This window comes from Homo sapiens, chromosome 15, assembly GCF_000001405.40.
Source record: "Homo sapiens chromosome 15, GRCh38.p14 Primary Assembly".
NCBI classification, from domain to species: domain Eukaryota; kingdom Metazoa; phylum Chordata; class Mammalia; order Primates; family Hominidae; genus Homo; species Homo sapiens.
In genome coordinates this window covers 46,824,463-46,847,529 of record NC_000015.10, presented here as the reverse complement: position 1 = coordinate 46,847,529, position 23,067 = coordinate 46,824,463, and the positions used below count along the sequence as shown (strand labels likewise).

General features: G+C 34.5%; 1 pseudogene; it reads right to left on the bottom strand.

Moving 5' to 3' along the window:
• Positions 1 to 19,569: 19,569 nt before the first annotated feature.
• On the bottom strand, positions 19,570 to 20,012 carry LOC112268162 (cytochrome b5 type B-like; annotated as a pseudogene).
• Between the last annotated feature and the right edge of the window lie 3,055 nt (positions 20,013 to 23,067).

Here is a 23,067-nt window from a genome sequence, read left to right as displayed (position 1 = left end):
GCACAGACATCAATGCAGGGACATGAGAAACATGAGAAAGCAAGAAAATATGATACCACAAAAAGAATATAACTCTCGTAACAGATCCCAGTGAAAAAAAAATTGCCAGAAAATAATTTCAAAATAATCTTAAGGAAATCCAACAAAATACAGACAGGTAATTTAATAACATCAAGAAAACAGTTCACAATATGAATAAACTCAAAGACATGGAAATCATAACAGAAATCCTGAAGCTGAAGAATTTAATGAATACAAGTAAAATAGAGTTCCAACAGCAGGATTGATCAAGCAGAAGAAAGTATCTGTGAATTTGAAAATAGGTCGATTTGAATTTACCCAGTCAGAGAAAAAAAAAGATAAAGTGAAGTAAGCCTACAAAACTTATGGGTCACGATTCACTAAAATAATATTGACAGTATAGAATTTTTTGAAGAGAAAAAAGATATAGCTGCAAACTTCCCAAGTCTGGGGAGAGATCAAGAAAGCTTGAAGGTTTTCAAGTGGAATAATATAAAAAATATTAATCCTAAGACACATTCTAGTCAAACTATCAGAAATCAAAGACATAGAATTCTAAAAATAGCAAGTAAAAATCCTCATTAGACTAATAGCAGATTCCTACACAGAAGTCTTATCAGGAGAAAATGGGATTATTCAATATGCTGAAAGAAAAATCTCTCAAGAGTACTGTATCCGCAAAACTATCCTTCAGAAATGAAGGAGAAATAATCTTTCTCAGACAAGCAAATACTAAGGGAATTCATCACCAACCACTAGGGTGGCCTTACAAGAAATGCTCAGATAAGTTCTACATCTACAATAGAAAATAACTCTCATGAAAACAAGCAAAAGTATAAAAGTTACTGGTATAACAAGTACACAAAAGTGAAAGAAAAAAATATCAAACCTTAGCACTACAAAAACCACCAAATACTTAGGAATAAATTTAACCAAATAAATATAAGAATTTATAAGGAAAACTATGAAACACTAAAGAAATTGAAGAGGACACAAAAATATAGAAATAGCATTCCATGTTCATAAATCAGAAGAAATACTGTGAAAATGAACATACTATCAGAAGTGATCTACCAATTCAATGTAATTCCTCCCAAAATACCAATGAGTCTCTCCCCAGCAATAGAAAAAACAGTTCTAAAATTTTTATGAAACCATACAGGATCTTGAATAAAGCAATTCTGAGCAAAACTAGAGGCATCACACTACGATACTTTAAAAAAGTACAAAGCTAAAGTTATAGTAACCAAAACAGCATGGTGCTGGCATAGAAACGGAGACATAGATCAGTGGAACAGAATAGAGAACCCAGAAATAAATCCTCATTTCAACAGCCAACTGATTTTGCAGATTTTCAACAAAGTCCCCCAAAATACATGGTTTGGCTCTGTATACACACCCAAATCTCATCTCAAATTGTAATCCCCACATGTTGAGTGAGGGGCCTTGTGGGAGGTGATTTGATCATGGAGGCAGTTTTCCCCATGCTGTTCTTATGATACTTAGGGAGTTCTCATAAGATCTGTTGGTTTAAAAGTGGCAGTTTCCACCCTCCATCCCCCATCGCTGTGTTGTGAAGAAGGTACTTGCTCTTCCTTCACCTTCTGCCGTGATTATAAGTTTCCTGAGGCCTTTCCAGCCAAGTGGAACTGTGAGTCAAGTAAACCTTTTTTTTTTTTTAGTAAATTATACTGTCTCAGGTAGTATCTTTATAGCAGTGTGATAATTGACTAATAAAAAGAATTGGTACCATCAGAGTGTGGTACTGCTACAAAGATAACCTGAAAATGTGGAACTGGGTAACAGGCAGAGGTTGAAACAGTTTGGAGAGCTCAGAAAAGACAGGAGGATGTGGGAAAGTTTGGAACTTCGAGGGACTTGTTGAATGGTTTTGACCAAAATGTTGATAGTGATATGGACAATGAAGTCCATGCTGAGATGGCCTCAGATGGAAATGTGGAACTTATTGGGAACTGGAGTAAAGGTCACTCTTGCTATGCTTTAACAAAGAGACTGGTGGTGTTTTGCCTTTGCCCTAGAGATCTATAGAACTTTGAACTTGAGAGAGATGATTTAGGATATCTGGTGGAAGAAATTCCTTAGCAGCAAAGCATTCAACAGGTGACCTGGCTGTTCCTAAAAGCCTAAGTTCATTTGCATAAAGAAAGAGATGGTCTAAAATTGGAACTTATATTTAAAAGGGAAGCCAAGCATAAAAGTTTGAAAAATTTGCAGCTTGACCATGTGGTAGAAAACAAAAACCCATTTTTCTGGGGAGGAATTCAAGCCTCTTGCAGAAATTTGCATAAGTAATGAGTTGAATGTTAGTAGGCAAGACAATGGGGAATATATCTCCAGGGCATGTCAGAGACTTTCATGGGAGACCCTCCGATCACAGACTGAGGCCTAGTAGTAAAAAATGGTTTCATGGGCTGTGCCCAGGGCCTTGCTGCTCTGTGCAGCGTTGGGACTTGTTGCCCTGTGTTCCAGCCACTCCAGCTCTAGCTATGGCTTAAAAGGGGCTAAGGTACAGTTCAGGTCCTTGCTTCAAAGGCTGCAAGCCGCAAGCCTTGGTGGCCCCATGTGGTGTTGGGCTTCTGGGTACACAGAAGACAAGAGTTGAGGTTTTGGAACCTCCACCTAGATTTCAGAGGAAGTATGGAAATGCCTAGATGTCGAGGCAGAAGTCTGCCATAGGAGTGGAGCCCTCATGGAGAACCTCTATTAGAGCAATAGCAGAAGGAAAATGTGGGGTTGGAGCCCCCACACGGAGTCCCCACTGGGGTACTGCCTAGTGGAGCCATGAGAAGAGGGTCACCATCCTTCAGCTGCCAGAATGGTAGATCCACCAACAGCTTGCACCATGTGCCTGGAAAAGCCTCAGACCCTCAACAACAGCTCATGGAAGCAGCCATGGGGGCTATACCCTGCAGAGGACAGGGACAGCTGCCCAAAGCCAGGGGAACCCACCTCTTGCATTGGCGTGCCCTGGATGTGAGACATGGAGTCAAAGGAGGTTTTGGAGCTTTAAGATTTAATGACTGCCTGACCAGGTTTTGGACTTGCATGGGGCCTGGAGTCCCTTTGTTTTGGCTAATTTCTCCCACTGGAAATATTTACGCAATGCCTATACACCCATTGTATCTCTTGGAAGTAACTAACTTGCTTTTGATTTTACAGGCTCATAGGTGGAAGGGACTTGCCTCGCATCAGATCAAACTTTGGACTTGGACTTTTGAGTTAATGCTGGAATGAGTTAAGACTTTTGGGAACTGTTGGGGAAGGCATGATTTGTTTTGAAATGTGAAAAGAGGGGCCAGGAGCAGAATAAAATGCTTTGGCTCTGTGTCCTCACCCAAATCTTATCTGAAATTATAATCACCACATGTCAAAGGAGGTGTCTGGTGGGAGGTGATTGGATCATGAGAGTGATTTAGCCATGCTGGTCTCGTGACAGTGAGGGAGCTCTCCTGAGATCTGATGGTTTTAAAAGTGGCAGTTGCCACCCACCTCGTGCCACCTTGTGAAGAAGATTCTTGCTTCTCTTTCACCTTCTGCCATGACTGTAACTTTCCTGAGGACTCCCCAGCCATGTGGAACTGTGAGTCAATTAAACCACTTTCCTTTATAAATTACCCAGTCTCAGGCATTTCTTTACAGCAGTTTGAAAATGGACTAATATATATTGGGGAAAGGACAACTTCTTCAACAAATGATGCTGGGGAAACTGGATATCCATATGCAGAAAAATAAAACTAGACCCATATCTCTCACCATATATAAAAGATACCTCAAAGTGAACTAAAAACTTAAATATAAGACCTCAAACTGTAAAACTAATTAAAGAAAACAGAAATGCTTCAGGACATTGGTCTGGGCAAGGATGTTATGGAGAGGACCTCAAAAACACAGATGACAAATTCAGAAATGGACACATGGGATTATATTAAACAAAAATGCTCCTGCACAGCAAAGGAAACAACAGAGTGAAGAAACCCACAGAATTGGAGAATATACTTTTATGCTATTCATTTAACAAGATGTTAACACCCAAAATATGGAAGGAACTCAAACAACTCACCATCCAAAAGCAAGTAATCTATTTTTTAAACGGGCAAGGGGTGTAAATAGACATTTCTCAACAGAAGACATACCGTGGCCAAAAATTCAGGGGAAAAGTTGCTCAACATTGCTAATCATCAGGGAACAGCAAATCAAAACCACAATGAGACTATCTTACCTGAAGTAGAATGGCTATTACCAAAAAATAAAAAATAAATGTTGATAGGACTGTGGGAAAAAGGGAACTCTTGTAAATTATGTGATTGTAAATTACTATGCCCATTATTGAAGAATATGAAGGTTCTTCAAGAAACTAAAAATAGAACTACCATATGATGCCGCAATTGCACTATTGGGTATATATCCAAAGGAAGGAAAATCAGTATGTCAAGGATGCACTCCAATATTTAGTACAACACAGTTCACATTACCAATATGTAGAATCATCCTGAGTGTCCATCAACAGATAGATAAAGAAAATATGACATATACACACAGTGAAGTGTTACTCAGCCATGAAAAAGAATGAAATCCTATCATTTCCTGCTATGTGGATGAAACTGAAAGTCATTATATTAAGTGAAATAAGCCAGGCACACAAAGACAAATACCACATGTTTTCATGTATATATGGAAGCTGAAAAGTCTAATCTCATAGAAATATCAGGTAGAATAGTAGCAGAAGTAGGAAAAAGTAGGGGTGAGGAGAGGTTAGCAAAAGTTTGGCTAATGAACACAAATTGTAGCTAGATAGGACCGAATAAATCCCAGTTTTCTGTAGCACTATAGAATGACTACAATTAACAAACTTATTTTATATTTTCAAATAGCTAGAAGAGCACATTTTGAGTGTTCCCAACACAAAGAAATGATAAATATTTGGGGTGGTAGATATGCTAATTACCCTGATTTGATCATTACACGTTGCATACATGTATCAAATAATCACTCAACTCCATAACTGTACATAATTGTGTGTGAATTACAAATGATAATACAAGCAAAAAATTTTAAGAGATGAGGTGTGCTAAGCAGAAAAAAAATTGATGCACAGTATAGATATATACTAAACAGAACATCTCATCAAATATAAATCAGCAGTAAAGATTTCATGTCACTTTGTTTCCAGAGACCAAAAGAAGCAACTGTGAAGACAGTATGTCTGGTCCCACTGTACCCATTTTGGTGCATCCCCAAACACTGATTCCAAGTCTTACTTCTCCAGGGCTCTAGAGTGTCAGCATGAAAGACAGCTGCTGAGATTTGAATGTTCCCTTCAAGACTCAAGTTAAAATTTAATTACCAATGTAACAATATTGGGAGGTATGGCCTTTCAGAGGTGATTGCTTTCTGAGAGCAGACCTACTATCACTGGAGTGGGTTATTTATTACAGGAGTGGTATAGTGATCATGTAAATTGGCTCCTGAGAAAATAGATTCAGACCCCATTCTCTGTCTCACATGCTTGCTTGCCCTTCTGCCATATTATAAAGCAACACAAAGGCCCTTGACAGACGTCAGTGCTATGCTCTTGGACATCCCAGCCATAAGCCAAATCTCTTTCTTCTTAAATGAATTAAGCAGTCTATGGTGTTGTTATAGCAGCAGAAAATGGACTGAGACAGCAGCTAAGTGGTCATCATTGCCTGATTGCCAGGTGCCAAAGATGAAAGAGCACACTACTGGGGAGTCAGTAAAACTGTTTTTTAGCCTCTGCTCATCTTGAAGCTGTGACCTTCACCACTTTAGGACTCAGCTTTTTTGGTGAAGGTATTTGAACTGGAGCTCTAAAATTCCAGCCTTAATGTGTTAAAATTTTCTGGGAAACTTGTAATGCTTGTTTGCCAAAATTAAAACTGCCCCCATCGAAGATAAGAAATCATTATTTTTGTGTTGTCATTAATATTAAATTATGTTCATCTAAACTGCTTTAACTGACAATTGATCATAATTGAATACAGAGTAAATTGTCGGTAATATTTTTATTTTTTGATTAGTTTCTCTATATTAGAAAAGTAGAAATAACATCAAAGCAATCATCACATCTCCCTACTGAAACTTCCTTCTCCTGTTGCTTCCAGGAGAGAAAATACCATTGTTAGCTCATCATTAAAACTAGTAACAAAGAAATAAAACCTTCACAAACTAATCCCAAACTTTGTGTCCAGACTTCCATATGCCCTTCATCCAGCTTTCTGAATATTAACATCTTACATTATCATGATACACTTTCATAGCTAAGATAATATTTGTACAATACCATTAACTAAACTGCAGATTTTGTTCATATCTTGTCAATTTTTTCACCAATGTCTTTCTATGTTTCAGGATCCAATCCAGACTACCACTTACTGCGTTGAGTCATTGCAATGGACTGAATGTTTGTATGCCCCTAAAGTTTACATGTTAAATTCCAAACCTCCAGTGTGATAGTATTTGGAGATGAGGCCTTTGGATAATAATCAGGTCATGAGGGTGGAGCCCTCATGAGGAGACTTAGAATCCTTTTTTAAAAATGACCCCAGACAACTCTCTCACCCTTTTTACAAGCACGATACTTTGTTAAAGTAGCCTGAGCTGACGAAGACAGTCATCTTGTCTTCTTTCTCCTCCATTCTGACAGCTTCTTGGTCTTGTCTTGTGTTTCATGACCTTGACACTTTTGAAAAATACTGGAAAGGTATTTTATGTCTCTCTCTCTCTTTTTAGTCATTTTAATAGGTATGCTGCAGTATGTAATTTTATCTTTAATCGCAGTTTTCTATTAAGTGATCTGTGCATCCCTTTCTATGCTTGTTTTCCAATTGCGTATCTTTGGTGCTGAGTTTATTCAGATGTACCATTTTTATTGGGTTGCTTTCTTATTGAGTTTTAGGGGTTTTTTTTGTTTTCTAGTTACACAACTTTAACGGATGTGAGATTTGCAAATATTTTCTCAATATCTGTGGCTTGTCTTTTTGTTCTCTGAAAATTTCTTTCACAGATCAAAAGGTTTTAATTTTGGTAAAGTCTAACTTATTAATATGTTATTTTAGGAATCATGCTTTTGAAGTCCTATTTCAAATACCTAATCAAACTCAAGGTCATGCAAATTTTTTGTTGCTTTCTTCTAGAAGAATTTTTAGTATAATGTTTTATACTTCAGGCTATAATACAGATTGAGTTAATTTTGGCATATGATGTCAGGGTTCATTGTTTTGTAAATGGATGTTCAACTGTTCCATCATTAGTTGAAGAAACTATACTTTCTCCAATGAAATGCCTTTGTACTTTTGTAGAAAATCAATTGATTATATTTGTTGTACTCTAATTTTTATCTCTTTATTTTGTTTTATTGACCTATTTCTTTATTTTCAGCATTACCTTTCTTAATTACTATAAGATTGGTAAGTCTTGAAATTGGACCTACAAAATTGTGGGCCCTTCAACTTCTTTTTTTCTTTTACAATTGTTTTCATTTTTGTCTCTTTTTTCTCTTAAAATCTTAGAATCATATTGTAAATATCTACAACATGGCATGTTGGAATATGAGTTGAAATTGCACTGAATTTATAGATAAAATTGAGAAGATTTGGCACCTAAACAATATTGAGTTTCCTATTTTCTGAGCAAGATGTACCATTTATATAGATGTTCGTTTTCTTTCATTCATTTTTGACATAAAAATTATAAATTGTTATATTTATTTCTAATTTCATATCTTGGAGGCAACTTTTAGTATAATCTTAGGTTTACAGAAAAGTTTAAAAGGTTATAAAACTGTACCCATTACCTTTTAATCAGATTCCCCGATGTAAATATCTTCTCTAACGATGGAATATTGTCACAATCAAGAAATTAGCATTGGTGCAATATTAATTAAACTTCAGAATTTATTGAGATTTGCCAGATTGCCACTGGTATACTTTCCATTTCCCAGAATCTAATTCATAATACCATGTTGCCTTCATTCTGTAATAGTTTTTTAGTGTTTCTTTGATTAATGTGACATTAACATTTTTGAAGAGTTAAAATTTAGTCCAAAATATTTAATTATTTAGTGAAAATACTAATCAGATATTTTGTAGAAAGTCCCTCAATTTTAGCTCTCATGATTAGACTGGAGTTATGTGTTTGGGGAAAGAATATTACAGAAGTGAAATAACCTTTGAATTGCATCAACTCAAGGATATATAATATTAGCGTAAGTTATTCCTTGTGATGTTAATTTTATTCCCCTGGGTAAGATTATCTAGGCTGGTTTCTTTTTACAGTTACTATTTCTTTTCCATGCTTTTCTTTGGTAGTGAACCATTACGTTCAAAAGACACTCAAGGGGAGAGGATTTAAGCTCCATGTCCTGGAATGGGGAATATTCATGTATATATCATTTAGAAATCTTCTGTTAGAGAGTTCTGTTCTTCTCCCCATTTACTTATTCATTCAGCCATTTATATGTGTATTCATTCATGGATATTTATTTTATTATTTGTGTTATAATCTTTAAATAGTGTTATTTCTTTTGCTGCTGGCATTATTCCATGTTTGGCCATTAAAGATCTTCCAGGTTGCTGCTCATGTCATTTGTTTTGCTGTTGTTTGTTTGTATTTTTAAATGTTTTGTTTTAGAATAGTTTTAGTTTTGTAGAATTATTGTGAAGAAAGTACAGAGGGTACTCATATACCACACAAAGAGTTACTCCTATTATTAATATATTATTTTGATGTGTTTTTCACAAAACCAATATTGAACTAATACTGATATATTATTATTAACTAAAATTCATACTCTTTTCAGATTTTGAAAAAGGTTTACCCTAATTCCTGTTTTAGAATTCCATTCAGGAAACCATTTAGTAGTCATGTCTCTTTGGGCTCCTCCTGCTTGTGACAGTTTTTCAGGTTTGTTGGTTGGTTTGTTTTGATGACCTTAATAGTTTTGATCCTGCTTTTGATCAGGAATATTGTAGAGGGTCCTTTAAATGGGATTTGTCTGTTGTTTTCCTAATGATTCTACTGGGATTATCATTTTAGGGAGGATGATCAGAGAGATAAAATGCCACTTTTATCACATCTTTTCAAGAGTACGGACTACTAAGATGTCTCATCACTATTGATATTAGCCTTGACTACCTAGCTTGAGGTCATATACTTGTCAGTTTTCTCCACTGTAAAGTTACTTTTTTTTTTTTCTTCCATTATGTCCATATTGCATGTACTTTGGAAGGAGTGAGGAGCTATAATTCTCTTTGGTGGAAATCCACATAAATTACTTGGAATTTTTCTGCATGGGATATGTATTATTTCCCATGTATTTACTCAACCATTTATTTATATTGGTAAGGACTCATGGATATTTATTTTATAAAAATGTGGTTAGGTAAGATATTTTATGGTTAGATAAGATATTACTTGTAAATGTTTCTCATAGATACTCTTTATTAGGTTGATCATTTCTTCTTAGCTGAGGTTTTAAAATCAGAAAAAAATGGAATGGATGTTGAATTGTCAAACGGTTTTTATATCTATTGATTGTTTTTCTTAAACTTTTAAAATGGAGTTTATATTATCTCATTCTCAAATCTTAATCCAAGTTTGCATTCCCAAGGTAAACCCCACTTGGTCATGATATATTACCCTTGTTATAAATTACTGGGCTCAGTTAAATTTTGTTTCAACTCTACATCTAGGCTCATGAGGGGTATAGACTTACAGTCACATGTGTGTCTGCATTTGATGTCAGCATAATAATGGGGTCTAGACATAGCTGGGAAGTAATCTGTTCTCTTCAATTTTCTGAAGAATTTGTTTAGAATTAGTACTACTTCTTCCTGAAGTGTTTGATGAAATTCACCAGTGAATCCATTTGTGTCTGGAGTTTTCATCATAGAAAGGCTTTTAGCTACAAAGTCAATTATATATATATTTACATATGTTTTATTTATACTTATGTGATTTATATGTATAAATTTAAATACATATGTATATATTCATTCAATTTATTCATGAGTGAATTTTAGTAGCTTGACGTTTTCAAAGTACCATTTCATCTCTATTGTCAAATTTAATGACATAATTTTAAGTATATTTTCTTATATTTATTTTAATATCTGTAAAATCTACAGTGATGTCACATCTCTCATTCCAGATGTAGGTAACTGAAGTCTTCTTTTTTGCCTGAATGGTCTGTCTAGAGGTTTATCAATTTGATCTCCAATTATAAACTTTTGGTTTCATTGATTTTTTTAAATTTTCTTTTTTTAAATTAACAACAATTGTAAATATTTATGGAAACATAGTGATGCTTCTGTATATATAATGTATAGTGATCAGCAGGTCATGATAATTAGCATATCAATAGCATATCAATAAGCTTAATATTTATCATTCATGTTGGGTATATTCAATATCCTCTTTCTGGCTATTTGAAACTAATATATTAACTTTTGGTTTCAATAATTTTTAAACAAATTTTTTTTTTCAATTTTCTTTTCTACTTCTTTTGGTTTTAGTAGCTTTTCTGTTTTTACTTTTAAAATATAGCCTGTAATCATTCATTCAAGACCTTTTGTTTTTTCTAATGTAGGCATTTAGTGCTATAAATTTCCCCTTAAGTATGGTTTGGTAACATTTTGCAAATTCTGATATGTTGTTTTCATTTTCATTCAGTTTAAAATATTCTCTAATTTTCCTTTTTTTGACTCGTGGTATTTAGAATTTTTTTTTAATTTTTGAGGATATTTCCAGATACCTTTCTGTTACTTATTTCTAATTTTAATTTCATTATGGTTACAGAACCTATTTTATTACCTGTATCATTTTAGAGCTATTTAATACTGTTTTATCACCCAGAATATAGTCTATCCTGGTAAATATTGTATATTTTTCAGAAAACAATCTACTTTCATTTAGTAGTATGCTATAAATGTCAAATAAGTTTATTATTCAAATCTTCTATATCCCTATGAATTTTCTGTCTACTTGTTCTATTATTTATTGAGACAGGGTATTGAATACTGACTATTAATTGTGGCTTCAGCTCTTTTCTCTTATGTCTATTGGGTTTTGTTTTTTGTTTCATGTATTTTGGAGCTCTGATACAAAGAGTATAAAGGTGTAGGAGTGCTATGTCCTTTTTGATGAATTAGCTTTTTTATTAATATGAAATTATATTCTCTATAATTTCTGTTAGTATTTATTAATTTAAAATAATATAGCCACTTCAGATTTACTTTTGCATGTGCTAACATGGCATATCCTTTTCTATTACTTTAACCTATTAGTATATTGTCTTTATAAGGGAAGTGTATTTTCTGTGGGCAACATCTAGTGAGGTCTAACTCTTCATTCAATCTAAGAATTATCTGCTTTTTAATTGGTTTATTTTCAAAACTTATATTTTAGGTTATTGTATGATTACTCAAGTTACCATTTTCCTATTTTATTTGTATTTGTCATATGTCTTTTTCCCCTTGTACTATTTTTTCTGTCTTCTGTTTAATTAGCTGGATATATTTTAGTATTTTATTTCTTTTGTTAGCTTATTAACTCTGTTTTGTTATTTTTACAGTTGATTTGGAGTTCATAGTATACATATTTAACTTATAATCTACTTTTGTGCGGTATTCTACTACTTCACATATAGTTTAGGAACCTTATAATATTATACTTCAGATTCTCCCCATGACATGCTATTGTTGGTGTACATTTTACTTTTCCATAACTTATAAATTTCAACTTATGGTATTATTATTTTTGTTTAAATAATTAATTATCTTTTAAAGGGATTTAAATAATAAAAAACTTCACCCTTATAATTACCTTTCTTAGTGCTTTTAATTAACTTGTGTAGAATCACATTCCCATTTGGTATCACTTTTCTTCTGCCTGGAGAACTTCCTTTAACAATTTTTATAGTGCTGTTTTGCTATTTAAGAAGTCTTTCAGCTTTTGGGGTATGTTGTATCTGAAAATGTCTTTATTTTGTCTTCAGTGGTGAAAGATATGCTCACTGAATATACAATTCTAGGATGACAGGATTTTTTCCTTTTTCTTTGAGCACTTTAAAATGGTCTTCCCCTATCTTCTCACTTGAACTATTTTTGAGGAGAATTCTGATGTTATCTTTACTTTTTTTCTATGTACAATAATGTGGCTACTTTTGAGATTTTCTCTTTATTATTAGTGTGAGCAATTGGATATTATGTGTTTTATTGTCTTCAGGAAAACTTGTACTTAGAGTTTGTTGAGCTCCTTATATCTGTGGATGTATAGTTTTTATCAGTTTGGAAACTTAGCCACAATGTCTTCAATTTTTTTTTCTCTCTACTTTGAGAACTACACCTATATGTATATCAGGTTGTTTGAAGTTGTCTCTCACAACTCATTGATAGTCTTCATTTTTTTTAATTAATATTTTTCTGTGTGTTTCATATTGGGTAGTTCCTATACTATGCCTTAAATTTTGCTAACTTTTACTCTTGCAATGTCTGATCTATTACTTATTCTACCCAATGTATCTTTTTTTATTTTATTTTATTATTATTATACTTTAAGTTTTAGGGTACATGTGCACAATGTGCAGGTTAGTTACATATGTATACATGTGCCATGCTGGTGTGCTGCACCCATTAACTCGTCATTTAGCATTAGGTGTATCTCCTAATGCTATCCCTCCCCCCTCCCCCCACCCCACAATAGTCCCTGGAGTGTGATGTTCCCCTTCCTGTGTCCATGTGTTCTCATTGTTCAATTCCCACCTATGAGTGAGAACATGCAGTGTTTGGTTTTTTGTCCTTGTGATAGTTTACTGAGAATGATGATTTCCAATTTCATCCATATCCCTACAAAAGACATGAACTCATCATTTTTTATGGCTGCATAGTATTCCATGGTGTATATGTGCCACATTTTCTTAATCCAGTCTATCATTGTTTGACATTTGGGTTGGTCCAAGTCTTTGCTATTGTGAATAGTGCCGCAATAAACATACGTGTGCATGTGTCTTTATAGCAGCATGACTTATAATCCTTTGGGTATATACCCAGTAATGGGATGGCTGGGTCAAATGGTATTTGTAGTTCTAGATCCCTGAGGAATCACCACACTGACTTCCACAATGGTTGAACTAGTTTACAGTCCCACCAACAGTGTAAAAGTGTTCCTGTTTCTCCACATCCTCTCCAGCACCTGTTGTTTCCTGACTTTTTAATGATTGCCATTCTAACTGGTGTGAGATGGTATCTCATTGTGGTTTTGATTTGCATTTCTCTGATGGCCAGTGATGGTGAGCATTTTTTCATGTGTCTTTTGGCTGCATAAATGTCTTCTTTTGAGAAGTGTCTGTTCATATCCTCACCCACTTTTTGATGGGGTTGTTTGTTTTTTTCTTGTAAATTTGTTTGAGTTCATTGTAGATTCTGAGTATTAGCCTTTTGTCAGATGAGTAGGTTGTGAAAATTTTCTCCCATTTTGTAGGTTGCCTGATCACTCTGATGATAGTTTCTTTTGCTGTGCAGAAGCTCTTTAGTTTAATTAGATCCCATTTGTCAATTTTGGCTTTTGTTGCCATTGCTTTCGGTGTTTCAGACATGAAGTCCTTGCCCATGCCTATGTCCTGAATGGTAATGCCTAGGTTTTCTTGTAGGGTTTTTATGGTTTTAGGTCTAACATTTAAGTCTTTAATCCATCTTGAATTGATTTTTGTATAAGGTGTAAGGAAGGGATCCAGTTTCAGCTTTCTACATATGGTTAGCCAGTTTTCCCAGCACCATTTATTAAATAGGGAATCCTTTCCCCATTGCTTGTTTTTCTCAGGTTTGTCAAAGATCAGACAGTTGTAGATATGCGGAGTTATTTCTGAGGGCTCTGTTCTGTTCCTTTGATCTATATCTCTGTTTTGGTACCAGTACCATGCTGTTTTGGTTACTGTAGCCTTGTAGTATAGTTTGAAGTCAGGTAGTGTGATGCCTCCAGCTTTGTTCTTTTGGCTTAGGATTGACTTGGCGATGCAGGCTCTTTTTTGGTTCCATATGAACTTTAAAGTAGTTTTTTCCAATTCTGTGAAAAAAGTCATTGGTAGCTTGATGGGGATGGCATTGAATCTATAAATTACCTTGGGCAGTATGCCATTTTCACGATATTGATTCTTCCTACCCATGAGCATGGAATGTTCTTCCATTTGTTTGTATCCTCTTTTATTTCCTTGAGCAGTGGTTTGTAGTTCTCCTTGAAGAGGTCCTTCACATCCCTTGTAAGTTGGATTCCTAGGTATTTTATTCTCTTTGATGCAATTTTGAATGGGAGTTCACTCATGATTTGGCTATCTGTTTGGCTGTTATTGGTGTATAAGAATGCTTGTGATTTTTGTACATTGATTTTGTATCCTGAGACTTTGCTGAAGTTGCTTATCAGCTTAAGGAGATTTTGGGCTGAGACAATGGGGTTTTCTAGATATACAATGATGTCATCTGCAAACAGGGACAATTTGACTTCCTCTTTTCCTAATTGAATACCCTTTATTTCCTTCTCCTGCCTAATTGCCCTGGCCAGAACTTCCAATATATTGAATAGGAGTGGTGAGAGAGGCCATCCCTGTCTTGTGCCAGTTTTCAAAGGGAATGCTTCCAGTTTTTGCCCATTCAGTATGATATTGGCTGTGGGTTTGTCATAGATAGCTCTTATTATTTTGAGATATGTCCCATCAATACCTAATTTATTGAGAGTTTTTAGCATGAAGGTTGTTGAATTTTGTCCAAGGCTTTTTCTGCATCTATTGAGATAATCATGTGGTTTTTGTCTTTGGTTCTGTTTATATGCTGGATTACATTTATTGATTTGCGTATATTGAACCAGCCTTGCATCTCAGGGATGAAGCCCACTTGATCATGGTGGATAAGCTTTTTGATGTGCTGCTGGATTCGGTTTGCCAGTATTTTATTGAGGATTTTTGCATCAATGTTCTTCAAGGATATTGGTCTAAAATTCTTTTTTTTGGTTGTGTCTCTGCCAGGCTTTGGTATCAGAATGATGCTGGCCTCATAAAATGAGTTAGGGAGGATTCCCTCTTTTTCTATTGATTGGAATAGTTTCAGAAGGAATGGTACCAGTTCCTCCTCGTACCTCTGGTAGAATTCGGCTGTGAATCCATCTGGTCCTGGACTCTTTTTTGTTGGTAAGCTATTGATTATTGCCACAATTTCAGAGCCTGTTATTGGTCTATTCAGAGATTAGGCATTGCAGATTTTACCTCTCAAAGTTTGATTTGGGTCTTTATAGCTTTGATGTCTCTAAGTTTTTTAACATAAGGAATGCCATTATAGTAATTTTTTAAAGGCTCTTTGCTAACTCTAACATCTATATTCTGGGTTGGTTTTGATTTATTGATTATTCTCCTTATTATAGATAATGCTTGTCTGCCACTTTGCATGCCAAGTAAACTTTGTTTGGACACAAGACATAGTACATTTTATCTTATTGGGTGCTGGGTATTTTTGTATTCCTGTAAATTTTGAGCTTTGTTCTGGAATGAAGTTAAATTCCTTGGGAATAAAAGTGAATTGTTTGAATCTTGTGTATATTTTGCAGGAGAGACTGGAGAAGAGGTTTTTCTAGAAATAATTATTTCCCACTACTGAAGCCAGACCCTTCTGAATGCACTGCCTTCTGCCCTATGAATCTTGAGTCGTCCAGTCTGGCTGGTACAAACAGGTGCTATTCCTGGCTCTATGTGGGCATCAGGCACTAGTACCTTTAATTGTGAGTAGGTGCTTCCTTCATTGGCCTGAGGTAGTTTCCTCACACTTACAGGCTGATCAGTGCTGTGCTGAATACTTGAAGGGGCTCTTCTGCAGGTCCCCAGAGCTTTCTCTCTGTGTATATATCTCTTCTCTTTGGTACTGTATCCTGTGAACTCTAGTGTCCTATTCTTCCTAAAATCTCAGCTCCATCCCCTCAAGTCAGGCAATCTGCTGGGCTTTACCTGGGCTCTGCTTCCCTGTGCTGCAATCTTAAAACATTCTCAAGTCAATACCCTGTGTCAGTGATGATAGGAAGGCTCATCTCATTTGTGTCTGGTGTCTTTCAAATCCTTATTTTTTATATGACCTTGTTTCCTGCCCTCCTTCCTTCCCCGTCTTCCTTTTCTTTTTTTGCACTTTCGTGAGTTTATTACTCTACCTTGGCTAGAAGAAAAATCCCAATGAACCATTTTCTTTGCTTGATTTTCTTTTTAATCTTCCCTATTACCGCATTGTTTTTAGGATATTACTTTCTGATCCTTTATTTGTTACCACTTTTGGCCAGTTTATTCCATTTTTTATTTCCTTAAATTCTTGGTATTTTTTATTTTCTTAAAATCTTGATATGGATGCTTGGCTTATTAATCTTTAATTCTTTTCTAATGTAAGCATTCAATAACATTTTGTTTTTATACATCATGTTTGTTGTTCAGCAGCAAATGTTTTCTAATTTCTATTATGATTTCTTCATCAATGACTTATTTTGAACTTTAAAAAAATTATCAAACACATTCGTGTTAATAACATTTTTGTTTGTAATTTAAATATACTTTTGACCAAAAATAGTTTTCATGGTTAAAATATTTGCACAATAGGCAGTTTTCTTTGTGACTTAATTTTGATTTGCATTCTTTGTTGATTATAAAAATTTGATCTAAATGATTTGATGATGAATGTTTAGTTAAATAGAACTAAACATTATATACATTGTATTGTTTTAGTACATTACTCTGTGTACTTAATATTGATCATACAGTAAAATAATTGATAAAACAGATTCTAATCTACTAATTTTAGTAAGAGCACACTTCACTTATTCCATGGAATCATCTTGCATTATTATGTTAATTTTAACTTTTCAGCAGAAAAAAAAATCACAATACAAATTTAAATGCCACAATAATAGGATAGGATGACTATTAACTTGTTACTACATATGTATATGTTGCATGGGATTCCTCTTATAAGGGCACAAAGCAATTTCTCTTGGAGAAGTGGTTCAATAAATTTAAATAACCTGTAAAATATACCAAGTCAAACTATTTAAGTTACAGTTCATGTTTACTTTAGCTCACTCAGATCCTCCCTTTTCATTAATTCCTATAAAGGCTTGAACACTTGAGTGCATTTTATATAGAGTCACCTGTGTTTAATGACATGGGATATTGGATAGGTATGTGTGCTCAGATTTAGTTTTATTTTAAATAAAATAGTGTAGGTTTCATAATTGTAATGCCTGAAATATGTGTATTGTAAATATCAAATGAAATATAGACTTTATTTTCTCAGTGGCTCTGTCAAGTTGAATTTGACAGGACCAGCCAGTTTAAATTATGAGCTCCTTCAGCACTGGAAAAATACTGCCTTTTCAGGAGGCTGTGAAAAAAGCCATGAAGAACCAAGAATTTTATCTAGGCCTTAAACAAAAGCTGTCTTTTTTAAAAGCTGGAAGCAAATAGTTAATGTTATGTTGTTAACCTGTTATATCATGGCAGATATACTTAAAAATTATTCCTTGTTTAGGGGAAGAGAACCAACCACGTCTTAGCTGGGTTCATCTTGGTACCATCTGCAGCTTGAGTTGAATCTCTCTTTATGTCTGTCTGTCTCTGTCTCTCTCTCTCTCTCTTTGCTTTGATATTCAGCTAAACACATACAACTTCTTTAGGTTCTGAGTCAGCAGAGTAATTAACTGGCATTTAGTACTTTGGTTCTGGACTGAACAAAAAAGAAAATAATAAGAGGCTACAAACTCTTCTGAATAAATCTTTTGAGAGTAACATATCAGATGTTACTAAATTCATTCTTCTATTGGGATTATATTTAGATGTGATAGCTTTAACTGGGTGACTGGAAATGAGATCTCCAGGAATAGGTCAAAGAACATAAACATGAGAGGGAAATGTTTAAATGTAGCCTGCCATTGAGGTCTAAAAGGATAATGTGTTCAGCTTCCTGGCAGTGGACCTGAGGACATAAAGTCTCTCAGTTTTTCAAGCATAGTTCCCTACTTCTCAGTATCCTTCACTAAGTCTGGGTTCTTGTTGAGTCAGTAAAATCAAAGATTCAGTTAAGATGTCATCTGCTTCATAAGCTTCTTGAATACAATGATTGCTTGTTTATCTTTGGACTTGCCATATCCCCAGTTTGTTCCAGGTGCAGAATAATGATTATGCAAACGTTTTTTTAAATCTACCACTTTTTTTTTGTTTTCATGGAAAAACAGAACAAAACCACACATTGGAGACAGGGAGGTAAAATAGAGATGAAATGGAAGACAGTCTCTTGTCAAGAACTCTTACTTTCAAATACCATCTATATGGAAGTTACTTTACTGGTGGGCAGACAGAAAGCCAAGTTGGAGCCTCTTACTTTTGGAAAATGGAGAATCAAAAATTTACTAATCAATAAAAAAAACCAGGGAAAATCTCTGGCAAAGCTCTACAGACATAATTATACATTTGTATTTTACCAGTAAAAGATAGCTAGAAGAGAAAAAAACCAAATGTCTAGAAACTGCTGCCAAACCAAAGTGAAAGCTTTGGTGCTTTCTCTAAACTCCTATCCTGCAGTAGTGCTTTTCAATATTTTTCTAAAGAAAGATTACTCTGAATTCACCAAGGGTCTGTCACCCCAATTCGTCCCCCTCTTTCCTTGTTTCTTTCCACCTCCAAGAAATAAATGGGAAATGTAGTTTTTTTGTCCAGTGCCACTTGGGAAGGGGCCGGACTTGAGGTGTGAAGAGCTGCCTTCTACCCTAGCTCGAGAGGGAGGAAATGACCGCACAGTTCTTTATAGTTTTACCACACACATACAAGGAACAAAAATCATCTGGCAGTTTTAAGTAATAGGTACATACTTTTACTCCATAAATTAAACTCCTTATAATAACAAAATTAAATAAGATTTTAAAAAATATATAGATGGGGCCTCCCTATGTTACTCAGAATGGTCTCAAACTTCTGGCTTCAAGAGATCCTCCCAGCTTGGCCTCCCAAAGTGTTAGGATACCAGGCATGAGCCACCACACCTGGCCCTAAATCAGAATTTTTAAAAAGATTTTACTTGAAAGAAACATGGAAAAGGAAAAGGTTCAGCATTAGATTGTTGCCCTGTTAAGAATGTCTAATGTGCATTTAAAAGTATTGGAAAGCAGGCATTTTTGACAAAGAGCAATGTCACTATAACATATGAACTACAATTATGAACAGAAAATTTTGAAATAAAAGGGTACTCATGGAAACCAGTGAAGAAAAGAAACACCAGCAATTGTTTGACAAAGAACAGTGAACAGGTACTTTGGGAGCAATAATCTGAAAGATGGATAGTGGTCCCAGATCTGAGGTGGTTGTCTGGCCAACTGTCCTGGCTCCAAAGGGGGGAGAATACAACTGGCAGGATTTGAGAAGAGGGCATTTCTGCAGCTCCCGAGCAAGTCTCTTGTTTTCATTCCAAAGTAGATATGCTTTCCGGACTTCAACAAGGTCCATCAGGAGGATTTGCTTTCCAATATGTAGGAGTGAGACAGGTAACCTAAGAGGATAGCACCTATGATAGGGAAAATCCAATATGGCCAGAAACTTTTGCATGTGTCATTTTTTGAAGAATCCTTGCACAATTTTCAGGTTTGAGGTCACTCAAATGGACAGCACCATTATAGTACTGCTTTAGCATTTCTCTGGCATCAGAGGAGTGGCCTACATCTACAAAACTTTCAGTTGCATCTGCACCAGCTTGTTCCAGCAGAACCTTTTCTCTGCCAGGGGGATCCTCAAAGTGGGGAACATCGTAGAGTCGCCCATGGATTACTAGACACAGTTCCTTCAAGAAGTTTTGCTTCACCACCTCCTCCAACTGCTAATAGGTGGTGGAAGTCCCTACCCCCTGCCCTTTTTCATCACTGCTGCTAGCTTGCACAGTTGCCATTGGACTGGAAATACTGCCTCTCTACTGCTAACTGGGCTTCCAAGACTACCTTCCTTGAGGAGAGCCCGCAGCAAACTTTTCCTAAAGAAAAAGAGTTCTTAAAATAAGATTATTCAAAGGTATCATCTAACAAAGTGATTAGATAATTATTGTTAGACCCATATATATATGTATGTATGTATTTTATTATATGTATGTTTGTATGTTTTTATGTATGTATGTATGTATGTATGTATGTATGTATGTATGTATGTATGTATTTTTAGCGTTTTTACCCAGCTGGATGGGCAACCTTAGTGTCCCAGAATTTCTTAATCTCATTTAGGTCTATCAAAAAATTATTCAAGTGTTTTATCACAAATCATAATTTTGCTTCCTAGATGAAGGTCATGGACATGATGCTAAGCAAAAATCTTCTATTCCAGCCTAGGTTTAAACCGGGAGACATTCCTTCCCAATTACTTTTATTATAAGTAGACTATAACAAAGTAGAGTAAAATTGCTGTAACATTTTTGAATTAAAATAAATTTGAATATAACTTCGTTGGTATGTGGCTCCTCTCCTCTGGCTGGTCACTTTTCTCAAAGATAGCAGGCTATTATCTTAGGGGGGCAGGAGAGAAATGTGGAGAAGGCCATGTGCATGCAGAATATGGTAGGAAGTCCCCTATAGGCCAAAGAAGCAAGCAGGCAGCAAAGCAGAGGCTCCCAGATCAACAGAATCCTCCTGGAGTGAGTCTGTGAAGCAGAGGTCAACACCTGGAAGATTCTTGGAATTGTTGCTTCCACCTTGACAGATCTGTCTGGTACTGGACTCAGAATTATTTCTGATAACATTTTAAGGCACATCAGAAAGTTACCACCATTTAATAATCAAGTACAGTTGGGTTGGGACAGATTTGGATTATGTAGCTAATTCTCGGGACTCCTGGTCTGTAAAACATGCTTGATGTTTTTAGTCATTTCATTAATTTTGCAGTAATGTTATCCCAGACTTTATGCAGTTAAGTTTTTAAGCTGACATTTCCACATTATTGGTGGAGTGTGAGCTACTGTATTACTATGAAATTCATTCAATACGTATTGCTTGTTGCCTCTGATATGCCAAACACTGAGCTGGGCACAGAATAAATAAAAATAAGCAAAAGTCTCTGATTTCAAGAACTTTACAGGCTCGCTGGCCAGACCACATTCACTGTCACCCTAAATTAGAATAGACTTCTTGGTGCAGTGGATGAAATGGGAAGGCATTAATCGCTGTACTTCCTTTTCCCCAAACAAGTGATCAGTCTCCATCTGGTTGTTGATCTAAAATATCTATTATATCAGGCGGGTGCCAGACAGCAAAGATGTTAAATCCTTAGCTTTTGAATTAAAAAGCCACAGCCCAAATGCAAGCCGTGAAAGATTTTGTGATAAAATAAGTGGTCATATATAACATTTATTTTTCCCTACCCCACACAATATAAAGAACCTCTTAGAAGCCAAAAAAGAGAGTTAGAGGAGAGCGACAATGTTTTGATGCTAAGGAGAGATGGGGGTCTTGAGCTCAAATTTTGGGAATATGAAGTAGGAGAGTAGTTGAAGTCTTCTTATACAATTTGAGAATTTTACTTATACTTCTTTTACAATTGAGACCGTAAAGTTAGAAATAACTTTTAAACCTATTCCTGTCTTGATATAAATATTTAACTGTCAATTAAAATATATGGTCTCTGAGCTTGGATTTAAGAAGCAAAAAAGACCCAAGAGCATCTTGCCATTCAAAAACCCAGCAAACTTCAAAAGAGGGATAGGCAAGCTTATACCAGGAAAATATAAACCAAAAAAAAAATGTGGCCAGTTATTTTAATATGTAAATCTATTTGTGTAAAGGAAAAAGAGAAAAATACAGTTTTCTACTGAAACAAAAAAATGATAAAAATATGCTTAACAATACAGCCTTAAATTAGAGCAAAGTAGAACTGGTAAAACTACAGAGAGAATCACATAAATTAACTGCATATTTGAAGATGTTAACAAAATTATGCAGAAATTAGAGATATGAACAATACCATTACTAATAATACATATGTACATATGTATATATGAAATATCTATTTCTGGTCATATTTTAGAAGCAAACAAAAATGTTTTTAAAAGAACCACAAATTAGATTATGAATGAAAACTTCAATTAATTTCAAACAAAATATATCAAACTATCTTTATTAAAGAAGTTTAATAAACTAAAAACTAGTATTTTCAATGGCATAATGATATCTCTTATTTTTTGAAACCAAAATAGTACCTCACTATAAATTATTATTTTACAAAGGAAAAAACAGATTTTAGAAATACTTAGAATTGCATGAAAATGAAAATATTTAATGCTCACTTTTGTGTAAGAACTAAAGCAGTATTTAGAAAAATATATTACTTAAAATGTGTATATCAGGAAACAAGATAAGTTAAAAGCAAATAACCTAAGCTTTCAACTTAAAAAGTGTAAAAAGAAAGACATAAGAAATCTAGAATAATTTGTCTAATAAATGAAATACAGGACAATAATAAAAGTTTAGAAAATTTAAATAAAATCTAGTTCCTTAAAAATTAATAATATAGATAAATTATTGGCAAGACTAACAAGAAATAATATGCAAATTAACAAAAGAGAAAATTTGAAAAAATTCATAATAACATAGCAAGTAGAAGATTTATTAACAACTCTACATGACAAAATATGGGGTAAAATAAATTACTAAAATGTATAAAATAATCAAAATTGGTACAGTGAGGGATAGATAACTTGAATAGACTTCTGTGGTATTATGTACATAAAAATAATTTTCCCCTTCAAAGGTGGGGAAAAAAAGATGATTTTTCAGATATTTTCTTTAAATTATTTAAAGAAATAATTGCTTTCATATATGTTTTTGAAAGCAATAGAGAAAGATTGCTTCGTGGGTCATTTTATAATTTATTTAATCTTAATTCATTAACCATATTATAGTCAAACTATATAAAAAGAATGTTAGTGGACCATTTTATTCATGAACATACATGCAAAAATTCTCATGAAA